The 14,426-nt window shown below is 37.0% G+C and overlaps 1 protein-coding gene across 5 annotated transcripts in view; it reads left to right on the top strand.

Moving 5' to 3' along the window:
• Positions 1-7,478, top strand: part of ZDHHC15 (zDHHC palmitoyltransferase 15) — a 154,611-nt gene extending 147,133 nt beyond the window's left edge. For all 5 annotated transcript variants that reach the window (XR_001755658.3, XR_938393.3, NM_001146256.2 and 2 more), the window contains one exon: positions 2,960-7,478. The gene's annotated coding sequence lies outside the window, so the exon portion shown is untranslated. The remainder of the gene's footprint in view (positions 1-2,959) is intronic.

Raw genomic sequence — 14,426 nt, 5'->3', positions numbered from 1 at the left:
ATAAATCCTTCTAACAAAAAGACTTATGTACATATATGTTCATCACAGCACTATTCACAGCAGCAAAGACATGCAATCAACCTAGGTGTCCATCAACAGAGGACTAGACAAAGAAAATGTGGTACATGTATATGATGGATACTACACAGCCATAAAAAATAATGAAATCTTATCCTTTTCTGCAACATGGATGCAGCTGGAGGCCATAATCCTAAGAAAATTAACACAGAAACAGGAAACCAAATAATGCATGTTCTCATTCATAAATGGGAGCTAAACATTGAGTACCCATGGAAACAAAGATGGCAACAATAGACACTGTGGACTACTAGTTGGGGAAGGACAGAAGGGGGTGGGTTGAAAAACTACCTATTGGGTACTATGCTCACTACCTAGGTGATGGGATCTATACCCCAAACCTCAGCATCACACAATATACCACCTAACGAACCTGCACATGTACCCCGAATCTAAAATAAAAGATGAAATTATTTTCAAATTTTGTAAAAAGTAAATGGGCAAAGGATGCAAACAATCAACAAAATAGAAATTAAAATGAAAAATAAACATTAAACTTGTTCAACTTCACTGTAAAGAAATGCAAATTAAAATAACCTAAAATACTAATTTTTATCTATTAAGTCAGCCAATTTTTACAAATTACAGTACCTATTGTAGGCAAGGACATGCTGAAACAGATGTTCTTATACAATGCTGATGTGAGTTTAAATTCATAGATCATTTTTTGAGTGCAACTTGGAAACACGTATAAAAACATTAAAATCTCATACTTTTTTAATTCAAAGAAACTAGCACTTTAATTTTATTCTGCATTTTTGTGCCTTTATACTACAAAAAAACTATATACTTTTATAATATACAATCTGGTGAGTTTTGAAATACGTTTACATCTGTGAAACCATCGCTGCAATCAAAATAATGAATATATCCATCTCTCCCAAAGGTTTTCTTCTGCACTTTTATAAATAACCCCTGCGCCATCACCAGGCAAACACTGATTTATTTCGTTACTATCAGTTTTCATTTTCTAGAATTTTAAACAAGTAGATCTGTACAAATGTATTTTTTTGTTTTGTCTGGCTTCTTCCACTCAACATAATTGAGATTCACCTTTGTTGCTGTGTGTAAGGATAATTGATTTCTTTTTATTGATGAGTAGTATTCCACTGGATATATACATATATTATATATATATACACACACACACACACACACACACACACACTAAAATTTACTTTTCCATCTATTAATGGATATCAGAAGTGTTTCTAGTTTTTTGCTCATACACATAAAGCTGCTATAAACATTTGTGACCAAGACTTTGTGTGAACCTGTGCTTGGGTAAGTACCAAGGAGTAGGATGGCTAAGTCATATGGTAGGCATAGAATTTTTTTTTTAATGAACCATTTTTCTATCCTGTCCCTGTGTGTGGTAGATGCTCACTCTCTCATTCTTTCTAGATAGCTTTATCAGATTAAGGAGGTTCCCTTTTTTTTAAATTATACTTTAACTTCTGGGACACATGTGCAGAACGTGCAGGTTTGATACATAGGTATACATGTGCCATGGTGGTTTGCTGCACCCATCAACCCGTGGTATATCTACATTAGGTATTTCTCCTAATGCTATCCCAAACCTAGCCCTCCAGCCCCCGACAGGCCCCGGTGTGTGATGTTCCCCTCCCTGTGTCCATGTGTTCTCATTGTTCAACTCCCACTTATGAGTGAGAACATGTGGTGTTTGGTTTTCTGTTCCTGTGTTAGTTTGCTGAGAATGATGGTTTCCAGCTTCATCTATGTCCACTTATCTGTGGAAGCTAAAAATTAAAACAATTGAACTCATGGAGTTAGAGAGTAGAATGATGATTACCAGAGGCTGGGAAGGGTAGTGGAGGGGTGAGTGCTGGAGGGGAATTGGGGATTGTTAATGGCTACAAAAAAAAAAAAAAAAAAAAAACAGAAAGAATGAATAAGACCTAGTATTTGCTAGGGCAACAGGGTAACTATAGTCAAAAATAATTTAATTGTACATTTTAAAATAACTATAAAAGTATAACTGGATTGTTGGTAACACAAAGGATAAATGCTTGAGGTGATGGATACCTCATTTACCAAAATGTGATGATTATGCATTGCATGCATGTATCAAAATATCTCATGTAATACATAAATATATATATACCTACTATGTACCCATAAAAATTAAAAATAAAAATAAATTTAATAAGATATGTTATCCAATTTTCCATCATCATAATGTTGTGAATAATATCACTAAACATAAATCTTTCTCCTCATTTATAATCATTTCCATAGGATAGAATCCTGGAAGCAAAATTACTGGTATGAATTTTTTAAAGGGTCAATGGATAAGGCCAAATCATTTTCCGGAAAGCTTAAACAAATAGCTACTTGAGGGCCTACTATATGCCAGATATTGTTTCAGGAAGATTATATTATACCAGTTTTACAGATGAGTAAACTAGGATCCATTGACATTATTTTTCTAGAGTTATGGAGATAAGAGGCAAAGCTAGAATTCAGCTTCATAATTGCCCAATTTCAAAGCTCTTGTTATTTCCATGTGGATTTCAAAAATAGTATTTTTGAAGTATCAAATTATATATTTACTAAAGAAAATGTGGAAAATGCAAGTAGAAGGTAGAGAAATGAAAACAAATTACCCATGAATCCACCACTTTCAATAGTTCAGTGTATTTCCTCAGTCTCTTATTCCAAATGTAATTTTGGGGGTCAAAAATATAGCATTGTATATATAATTTTATATCCTGCCTTTTTCACTTAACATTTTTCAGTGCTGATCTATACTCTTCATAAATGTAATTTTAATGGTTGCATATTATTGTCAAGTGGGTGTTACCACATGAATATTTACAGTTGTTCAGCTCATCTGTGAATTTCTTCTCTTCATTCCCAGGACTCACCATCTCTGCCTCCCATGAGGCTTACAGAGTTCAATGTTGGAAATCATTGTAATCTTCAAAATAAGTCACCGTGTTGGATTGAAAGCTTCAAAATTTGAAAGAATTCCATCAAATACTTGCTGTGTAAATGTTTCTGGACTTTATGTTATTTAATTTACTGACTGAAATCCAATTTGGAATTTGGTAGCAGTTAATTCAAGCCAATTTTTTTTGTTTCTTCATTTCCCCTCCCCCAATCCATGAAAGCCTAAATGTAAAATATATCTTTTCATTCATCTTATCAGGTAAAAGGAAATTCAGAAAATTTCCTTAGAGTCTTTAATTCCCCCACAAAGATTATTAATCACATATATAGGGCCTTTTTGGTGTTGAAGGGAATCAAACTACATTTGCTGCTTGTGTGCGTGTGCATTTGTGAACACGTACAGCATATCTATACAAAATTCTGCTATAGTGTGAAAATCAGGGCTAAAAACCTGAAGCCTTTGTTTAATTATGCTTTTCCTCTAAATAGCAACTTAAATATTTGCTAGACTTTGAATCATCGCTATATCAAGTATCTAAAATTTGGGAGGGTGAATCAGTACACTGTGACCAAGGTCCTCAAATTGGAATTTGAACAACAATGTAAAACCTGTTCTGTCACAAATGTTCCTGAAAGCACCACAGCTACTCAAGAAGATCAAATTCAGGACATAAACTTTATTGAACATAATAACCAGTGTTTTTTAAAGACTTTTTTGTCAGGGTGCAGTAAAATTCTCCAATTACTTTTATTCATTTATCTGCTTCCTAGTTTTATTTTAGCCTTTATGAGTTATTTTATGATGAAAGAAAATCTATAAGCCTAAGTTATGGCCCATAGGTTTTGTTAAGGGTTTTCAGAGTGATTTTCAGGTTTAATTTCACTGCCTTTCATAAGGGTAAAGTTTCACAGCTGACATTAGCCTGAGGATTAGCACTAAAGAGCTGTGTTTTCATAGCAGGGGCTATTGTACAGACAGTGATAACCAAATAGTAATATGCCAGTTCTTTCTTCTTTTTTTAGCTTCAGTAGTAGCTAAGCCATTAATACAGTTTGCATCAATTTCCCCATTTATTTATAATCAGCCTTTCTTTTAGTCCTAGTGCCTGAATCAATGAGTGAGAATACTAGTACTGATTCTTTACAATAATAATATCTTAAGAGTATTGATATCTTTCATTTTTTCATCCAGCAGTCTAGTGCCCAGCTGCTGACAATAAAAGCTCCAACTCTTTTAGAGATCAGTGGAATTTAGAAGCATCTTACAGGTATCAAGGAATTGAGCTTCTAGAGGGATGGTTTGGCTTACTAATTTATCTTCCCTGAAATATGTTTGAGTAAAAAAGAGTTGCCTGCCACAATTTAGTGTTGGGGTTCCAGTGGAGCTGAGAAAGTGAACAATCCAGCTACTTAAAGCAACAACAAAACCTGTTCATCTGGATCCCTAGGTAATTTTGACCAAGGTGAGACTTTTGGCATAAATTAAATGGATTGTGGTCAGCATTACATTTGAGAGAATACTAGACATGACTACACTTATTAGGGCTAGTGACTTTCTCAAACTCAGAAGCTAAAAAGCAGCCTAGATGACTATGCACACACTGGGTTTCAAGATGAAATCTTCTTATATATTCAGATGGAAAAAAATTTCCCCTTACACTCTTTCTCAAAATACTCTCATTTCGGTTTTTCCTGAAACCTTATTTGGCCATTCCCATGGTTTTATGACAGACAAGCCTTGTCTTCTATTCATATAGATATGCACCTTTTTCTACATGTATGGCCTTTACTTACTACACAGCAAGTAGGCCTCAAAGTAATCTTCCTCTTTCCCATCAATCATCTTCTGCCAAGCATTCAGGCAGAGCAGCTGTTAACTGTGATTCAAAGTCAGAAAAACATCAAGAACTTCTTTGATGCATAGGGTGTATCAGCACTCAGCTCCCACAGAAGTCAAGTCACAAAATATAGTGTCAGTTAACTATAAGGAAGTTCCGGAGAGGTAAAGCTCAGGAAAGATGTAATGCAAAGCTGATTGTTTAATGTCTTACAGATTTACACTGTCTTTAAAAGGCCAAATAAGGCTGGGCGCAGTGGCTCACACCTGTAATCCCAACATTTTGGGAGCCCAAGGCGGCCGGACCACCTGAGGTCGGGAGTTCAAGACCAGCCTGACCAACATGGAGAAACCCTGTCTCTACTAAAAATACAAAAATTAGCCAGGAGTGTTGGTGCATGACTGTAATCCCAGCTACTCAGGAGGCTGAGGCAGGAGAATCGCTTGAACCTGGGAGGTAGAGGTTGTGGTGAGCTGAGATCGTGCCATTGCACTCCGGCCTGGGCAATAAGAGTGAAACTCTGTCTCAAAAAAAAAAAAAAAAAAAAAAAAAGCCAAATAAATCAGGGTTTTACCAGGGGCTCAGAGATAAAAAGAAAACCTATTCCTATCTTAGCATTTTGGTCTCATTGGTTTATAGACTCTGATAATATCCCTATCCATGGATCATTTGAGTATTGACTAATGTACATAGGTACCCAACTGGTTGATTATTAATCAAGAATACAGAACTTTATTTAATAATTAGCACACCCTGATCTGGCTTCTTTGCTTGCTTTTCTTTGGATCCCTGTCCAATAACCTCTGTGGAATCTCATTCCCTAATTGTTGATACTCATTTTCTCCGTTTGCAAAATGAAGATACTCATTGTTAGGATCCTACTGCTGAAGGGTGCTATGTCACTTTCTAGTGCTCTTATATGTCTTTAATTATAGGACTGGAATGAAAAGCTTAACCATACAGTATTTCTAAGCAAAATAATGTACTCCATTCTTTTGTCCATGCTCTCATTGCTGATTTGTTCTTGCAGGACTTAGAGCACTTTGTTAATGTTCTTCCATTCACTCCAACAGCGTCCTCAGAAAGAGACAGAATAAAAAAATTGTTCCCCATGGTACAGCTGGAAAAATTAAGGGGAAAAGAGATTAAGTGGTCCCCAATGGAACACAGCTGTCTTATGCAGGGCTCACAGTTACCATGTTCAGTACATTGTTAAAGTAACTTGGCTTCCCAGGACTGGAATTATCATGGAGCAGTTAGAATTTTGAGAGTAATTACAACAGGATCACATTCTGAAAGAGTCACATTTTGTCAAAAATCTGAAAAGTATGCAATTTGTACAACTCTTACTTTCTATGTGATAAGAATGCAATATGTGCCTCTTTCCCCTACTAGCCCCATGTGACACATATTTTTCACACTATGTGGCATCAACCAGTGCCATTACCTCCTGTGGCACCATAGAGCCCAATCTCAGGGCAGACATTGCCAAGGTAAAGAATGCACTCCATGTTTATACCAAATTGCACAAAGTATAGACATTGAGGTTAATGGAGATTTAAGCACAATCCTAGCAAGTAAGTTTTAAGAATACTGAATATTATACATTATTGTAACATGAACCTAAAATTAATTTAACAGGGCCCAAATTCATAGGAATGTAACAGTCATTGAAAGCCTATTCTTTTCACCTCTCATCACACATATCTACATACATGTATGCACATGTACACACACACACACACACACACACACACACATACACATTTTCTCCAAAGCAGGCTGCCTCTTCAGCAGGAGCAAATACTTTAATTTAAAAGAATGATTATCTGTTTTCTCCTTTTAGAAAAAGAGTCTAAGAAACACAGCATGTGAAGAACATTAGATTTATACATTCCAGAATCTCTGCTCTCAGAGTAGCTAAGAGATTCGGTACAGAAGACGTTCTATGGAGAAGCACAGGGGGCATCTAATGAGATTGTCAGGCCCTTGGACAAGATCCATATTCTTAGAAAATTAATGAGTTCCATCTCGTTAGGAATTGGTTGATGAGGTATGGTACATCTGCATTTCTTTAACCATAGCTGTAATGTACCATATTAAATTGTAGCCTTTTGCATGCGGGTATTATATAATAATGAATGGGTGGCTCCTAGTAGCATGCAACCCATGACTGTTTACTTCCCTAAAAGGGTTAGGTCTGTGTCCTGCACAGTGTTCAAAACCATTAAATGTGTTCTTTGTAGCAGGATGGTACACAGCCATCAGCAGAATGAGTTAAAACCAACAATGAATTCAATATACCAGGAAATAGATTGTTAGTAGGGAATGGCATTAAAGGAAAAAAAAATTAGATAAGATGCATTCAAGGAATAATTACTTTCACTCTGCTGGCTTAATCAGTGAAGGAACATAAAAGGAAAGCTGGCAGTGGGTCTTGGTAATATATGAACTATATTAGAGTGCCAGAAAAGGAGACCTCAGAAGTTAAGCATAGGTTGCCAATCTGCTACAATTATTTTTCCCACCAATCTGCTCAAAATGATTGTATATAGTATTCTTAAAACCATGTGTCTTGGTGCAGAAATATTGACAAATGCTGGCCAGCTTTATCTTCCTATATCCTTCATTAAAAGTATATGCATATAATTGTTGGTTTTTTTTCCTAAATTGTGGCTTTGTTAAACAATGTTGACAAACCCTAAAGTTTCAGACTACTCTAAGGAAGTTTCTATACATCTAATTTCATAGGGGTATAGTGATGTTTGTTCACTCAGGTTGATTGGTATGCGTGGTATGTAGACTTCTCTGTAACATCTCACCTTCTGAACAGCCCCTTCCATGTGTTCGGTATTTCTGTCTTATGTTCCTACATGAATATGAATTGGGAAATTAGCTGCAATGGCTTTTAGATAGAAAGCTGACCAGTCTAGTGACACTTAATCACATTCAGTCTCTACTCAGCCTCACACATCTTTTGCCTTTCACTCTGCCATTGTGATGAAAGGAAAAAGAAAGAACTTTTCTTATGTGCCTAAGGGTGAAGTGAACTCTGGTTTGCTTTTTCTTACACTGAAGGCTATGTGTACTATTCTCCAGATGCATGTCACCTGAAAAAAGATACATAGAGGGGAACAACAGACACTGGGACCTATCAGAGGGTGAAGGGTGGGAGGAGGGAGAGAACCAGAAAAAATAACTAATGGGTACTAGGCTTAATACCTGGGTGATGAAATAATCTGTACAACGAACTCCCATGACACAAGTTTACCTATATAACAAACCTACACATGTACCTCTGAATTTAAAAGTTAAAATAAGTATAAACAAAACACACTAAAAAAGAAACACAGTAGCCCACTTACTCCTAACTCATACATTACCCTCAGAGAAATATTTGAGGAGACCCTCATTAAGGTAAGCCCCAGATAAGGTTTCCCTCAATTGATGCACCATTTGCAGGAAAAGTCCTTTTTCAGACAGAATGGAGAAAGCCCCCAATTAGCCAACCAGGAAGGCAGAAGTCATTCAAAATGCAGAGCATTGAAAACTGAAGTTTGGAACAGTCATTGCTGACTTTCTGACCAATTAATAATGGAGAACTTGAATCACTTAAAAGAAGCCCAACCCATAGATGTCAGGCTTAACACAAAACCAGAAAAAAATCTTTTATTCCAGCCAAGCTTATTTTTTTTAAAAAAAGTACTTACTTTGTCCTAGGTAAAGACCTCAAATATCTCTGTAGAAAATCCCATGTCATTTATTCTAGTGAATCAGTTACAAAGAGCTCATATTACAAACAAAGTGTTACTGGAAAGGGGTCTGGACCCAGACCCCAAAAGAGGGTTTTGGATCTCATGCAAGAAAGAATTTGAGGTGAATCCATAAAATGAAAGCAAGTTTATTAGAGAAGTAAAGAAACAAAAGAATGACTCCTCCATATGCAGAGGAGCCCAGAGGGCTGCTGGCTGGCCACTTTTATGGTCATTTCCTGATTATATGCTAAACGAGGGGTGGATTATCCATGCGTTCTCCAAAAAGGGGTGGGCAATTCCAGGAACTGAGGATTCCTCCCATTTTTAGGCCATATAGTGCAACTTCCTGACATTGCCATGGCATTTGTAAACTGTAATGGTGCTGGTGAGAGTGTCTTTTAGAGTGCTAAGGCATTATAACTAGCATATAGTGAGCAGTGAGGAAAATCAGGTCATTTCCATTACCATCTTGGTTTCGGTGGGATTTGCCTGGCTTCCTTACCACATGCTATTTTATCAGCAAGGTCTTTGTGACCTATATCTTGTGCTGACCTCCTACTCATCCTGTGACTTAGAATTCCTAACCACCTGGGAATGCAGCACAGTAGGTCTCAGACTCATTTTACCCAGCCCATATTCAAGATGGAGTCACTCTGATTCCAATGCCTCTGACATATCTTTCCCCTCCTTTTTATAAGAGAACATTTAATCCTAAGGTTTGTAGAGGGTTGAAGATCCATCTTCTGTAACTTTTTCAGGCTGAATAAGGGTGATGACATTCCTGCCTAATTATTAGGGTCTCCTGTAGTTGGAGTAGAGAGGAGCTCAGTCAGAAAGTGTCAGTATGGTGAGGGCCATTTATAACTCTGACACAAGGTGATATCTGGAATATTAAAAAGTGTTCCATTTAAAGAAAACAGTAAGCTTATCCTGTATTCCTACAAAAGGGTACAACAGCAATATATTCCACAACAATAAAGCAAAATAAGTAATACTATCCCAACTAAACTAAATAAGAAGGTTTTCCATGGACTGGGCAACTGTTGGAACCAAGCTGATATGGGGTTGCCAACTGATTCCAATGTGCCCAGAATTAGAATATAGATCCAGATTTTTGACTACCCATCCCTCTTGTTTCTTCTGTGCAGCAGTCAGAGATTACAGATTGGTTCACAGGAATAAGTAGGGTTAGTCTAAATTGCAGGAAAAAAACTCAAAAACAACCAATGAGACTAGAATCTAATAACAGGTATACCATAGTTCTTGAAACATAATTGTTCTCTCTCCAGTTTCCCATTTTTACTAAAGACAAGTTATAATAGGACCAATTCATTTGCAAAAATAAGCCTTAGTCTTATAATTGGCTTGAATATTTGTATAAAGTGCAGCAAGAATAATTTTTTCATGTAGTAGGCATTTTAAATTGGCTTTGATGAAACTGTTTCATAAGGAATCTCAGATATGAATTTTTTTAAGCTGAGCCCAGCCGTGGGTTGGTACCCTCAAATACCAATGAGTTGAGTAAATTTCTCTCCTCTTGAAGTCCCAAGATAACTTGAACCTGCTGAGCCTATCAGAAAGTGACATTCTTTACTTACCACAGGTTAGAAACCCTCAACAAGGACTTTGCAGAAAAGGCATGAGGCCAGTTTTCCCAAGGGGCTTTTATTGGATCTACAAGTTAAGTTTGATTCCTTAAAAAGAAGCATGCCATTCTAGTCAAAGCCTTGGTAAAACAAGATTCTCCAATTGTGTCCTGCTGCAAAAGAAAACATTCCTATTGCACTTATGCAAATAACTATATTTCCATAAATTAAGAATACTCACAAATAGTTACCAAATTCTAGAGAAATTAGGTAGAGAGAAACAAATATGTTCCAAATTTTGTTCACAGTATATTTTATTCAATTGTTAAAAGCTGTAAAGGGCTCAAAAAAACTTTCCTTGACTCTGAAAAACAAAACAAATGATCAGAAACATTTTAAGCAAAAAGTTTAAAAAGATTACTTCAGACTTTTAGTTTAGTCCATGCAGTTGACTCCTGTTCTGCCTGATATTTATGAACATTTCAGCTCTCCATGAGAGTCTTGAAAGTTTTTTCAAGGTTACCATAACTTATGATAACCTGGGATTCCATTTTGTTATTTAGCAAAATTGATAACTTAAAAATTTTAAAAAGGCAAAAACCTTTACTCATGAAGAGGGAAGACTTAGCTTTCCAAACAACCTGTCTCATTTCTTTCCCTTCTTTTTCCTGCAGTTTATTCAAAGGGCAAACAAAAATTTTTATTATCCTTTAATATTATATAAAAATCTTGTTCAAGAGAGAAATTCAAATTTCACCTTTTGCATTAGTGTACTATTAATGTAAACCCCAATTTCTAATAAAACCTGATAGACAAATCTACCCAATTTTAATGTTTGACCATAAGGTTAAGATTTCCATTAACCTTTTACAACCCTTTACAAATTTTTGTTAAAAAAAAGATCAGTGCTCTAAGAAAAACATGTTGTGCTTTTATTCCAATCTTCACTTTATGGAAGACCTAAACAATTCCCCTTTAATTTTAGCCAATATGTTCACACACAATTTCTTTCACAAAATTAATTTTTCACAAACCTTCCACAACTTGCTCAAACCTTCAGCTTTATCCTACCTAACTTAAAATAATCCTTTAACCCTTTAAGCAGAAAAATCCACATTCCCATGCCTTTTTATAATCTTTTACCAAAAACATATTTCACTATCCTTACACACCTTGCATGTAAAATATTTTATTTCCCAACAATTACTAAAGTCATGTAAACTAAAGGCTTATGCCTTTTTATTTTTCTGATAAAATATTTAAGCTCTTTCTTAAAAAACCAATTAGTCAATGCTCTTTCACATTACACACACATCACATATAAATACACAGATACACAGAAGATTCAATAGTTGTAAGGGTTTTCATTTTCCCATTTCTTAATTAGATTACTACCTTCTGGGTGGAGCCCTTGGAGGAACAGGGCCAGGAAAGCATTACAGTTTCTACAGCCTAATAAGCAGGCACAGCTGGAAGGCAAAAACAAATCCCAAAAATTAAGGGTCCCATTTTTATACTGGATCCCCAAAAGAGAAATGCTGCAGAAAAAGACAATGCAATGATTTTATCATGTATTTTTTTGCAAATCAATCCAAAGCCAATTAGCCTATTCTTTGATTAGCCCATCCCCCATGGGAGGTTTAACTCTCGTGGGCAGGGGAACATCTCTATACCTTCTGGGTGGCCAAGAGCATACTACTTTGATCCAAACGTGCAAGGAGCTGAGTATCCCCCCATAACTTTCATTAGCTATCTCCAAAACTATATTTCCTACCTAGTTATTACACACCAAAGCTCTCTCATAATGTAAAGTAACTTCTGATACCCCCAAAAGTAAAAAATGTCAGATAATGCAACACAAAATACAACAGAGTCTTAGATTTTGAGAGGGATCTATTTGCTTTTAATTCCTGGGGTTGCATGATGAAAACAGAGGATTTTCCCAAAACGGGGACTGTGGCACCTCTTCTGTTTTCCCAAGGAGTCCCAGGCTATTAGAACTTGAATAAGCAGACTTTTATATATAGCACTTTAAAAAAAAGTTTTAAAATTTTCTTATTACCCAACTTTTGCCAGGCCAAACGGCCAATATTTCTGGCTTTTAAACTTACCAAAGGCAACCTCCCAGGTGCTCAGAGAAAGGAAAATTCAAAATGGTCCATGGAGGGGAAGATAATCAACAAATGATAAAGGTTACACAGATATCAAATGAGAAAGGACTCATTCCCTAAGCCAGTATTGAACCCTGAACCCAGGCCACCATTGTGAAAAGACAAAGCCTTAGTTACTAAGCTACAGCATTGGGCAGTTTCCATTGCCCTTCCCAGAAGGAGCCTAGAGCAGCCAATTTTGAGCTTGCAATGGTTGTTAACTGCTCAAGATAATTTTTATAGCTAGTTATGACAGGCACCCAAAAATTTCTGTCTGCTGGATGGCAGAGACCAAGAGAAAGTACCACCATGTGGCTACAAGGTCAAGCTCCCAAGGACATAAAACAAGAGTAAAAGGAAACTTCATCCAATTTTTCCCCAACAGGGACCCGCAGCAAAGTGGATAACTGATCAGTTTGCTGGACTGTCTTGAACAGCAGGTTTATGGAGGCCTAAGCCTGTGTTCTATCCTAAGGTATTCCTCTTTATGACAGAGTAATACAGAAAGACAAATTTATAGCACAAAGTACACAAGATTTGCTACAGCAGCCACTCTGCTTAGCACCCAATGTCGAACTGGCAAAGCTCAAACTTGCCCCCAGATTGGCCCTGTCATCTTTAATTCAACAAACAACCAGAAGTTAACATATAGTCTTTGGGCAAGATGGTCACCCTGAGTAACAGAAAATATAGGAAAGGGAAAGAAGAGAAAGAGACAGAGAAAAAAGTATTGCCTGTGGCAGAGTGGGGAAGGTGAAAAGAGCTCAGGGAGGTCAGAGAAACACCTACCCATTGCAGCGACATGGAATCAAAAGTTCAGGCGGCCACTTGTCAGTGGCAAAGGGATCTTTTCCAGCAGTCCCATCAGCTCTCAAGTTTCCCCTTTTGGGGAGATAAAAGCTTCCCATGTCCCAAGATCATGTACATAGCCAACCCTGTCACCCATAGCCATTAGCAAAGAGTGCAAGACAGAGTAATCCAAAGCGAATAGTGGTTAACATTCCATAATGCCAAATCCATTTTTATTTGAGAAGGACTTTCCTGAGCAGGATCTCTAACCCCCTAAATCTTAGGAAGGACTAATCTTCGTAAGTTTGGTCTCGAACACAAGTTGGTTTAAGCATGCTTGCCTTTTTCCTAAGAGGGTCCTTTAACCCACTCCATCTTAGGAGAGAGTCTAACTCCCCTAAATTGGGCCTCTAACCCAATCCCACCCTTTACCCAGGTAAAATGCACCCCACTTACCCAAAGTCACCAATTGGTGTTGCAGTATATTTCCTTTGGGTCGGGGGTCTCCTCAGTATCATCCTTTCATGGTTACCAAGAAGATGTTACTGAAAAGGGGCCCCAATCCAGACCACAAGAGAGGGGTCTTGGATCTCACACAAATAAAAATTGAAAGTGAATCCATAAAGTGAAAGCAAGTTTATTAGAGAAGTAAAGAAACAAAAGAATGGCTACTCCATAGGCAGAGCAGACCCAAGAGCTGCTGACTGGCCACTTTTATGGTCATTTCCTGATGACATGCTAAACAAGGGGTGAATTATTCATAAGCTTTCCAGGAAAGGAGTGGGCAATTCCCAGGACTGAGGATTCCTCCCCTTGTTAAGCCATACAAGGTAACTTCCTGGTGTTGCCATGGCATTTATAACCTGTCAAGGCACTGGTGGGAGTGTCTTTTAGCATGCTAATCATTATAATTAGCATATAACAAGAATGACCAGGTCACTTTCATTGCCATCTTAGTTTTGGTGGAATTTGGCCAGCTTCTTTACCACATGCTCTTTTGTAAGGTCTCTGTGACCTGTATCTTGTGCTGATGTCCTACTCATCCTGTGACTTAGAATGCCAACCACCTGGGAATGCAGTCCAGTAGGTCTCAGTCTCCTTCCACCCAGCCCCTATTCAAGATGGAGTCGCTCTGGTTCAAATGCCTCTGACAAAATGACAACTGATATCTTTCTAGATTTAAGAAAGGCATAAAAGAGGAAACTTCTGTACAAGAATCTCATTTAAGTAAAGGTTACTGAGGAAATTTAAGGCATAAATGTCTAAAAGGAAACTTTAATTTATAGATATAAATAAAAGTATATGTATAATGTCTTA

Source organism: Homo sapiens, chromosome X (assembly GCF_000001405.40).
Source record: "Homo sapiens chromosome X, GRCh38.p14 Primary Assembly".
In the NCBI taxonomy this organism is placed as follows: domain Eukaryota; kingdom Metazoa; phylum Chordata; class Mammalia; order Primates; family Hominidae; genus Homo; species Homo sapiens.
This window is presented reverse-complemented; position numbering and strand designations above follow the sequence as displayed.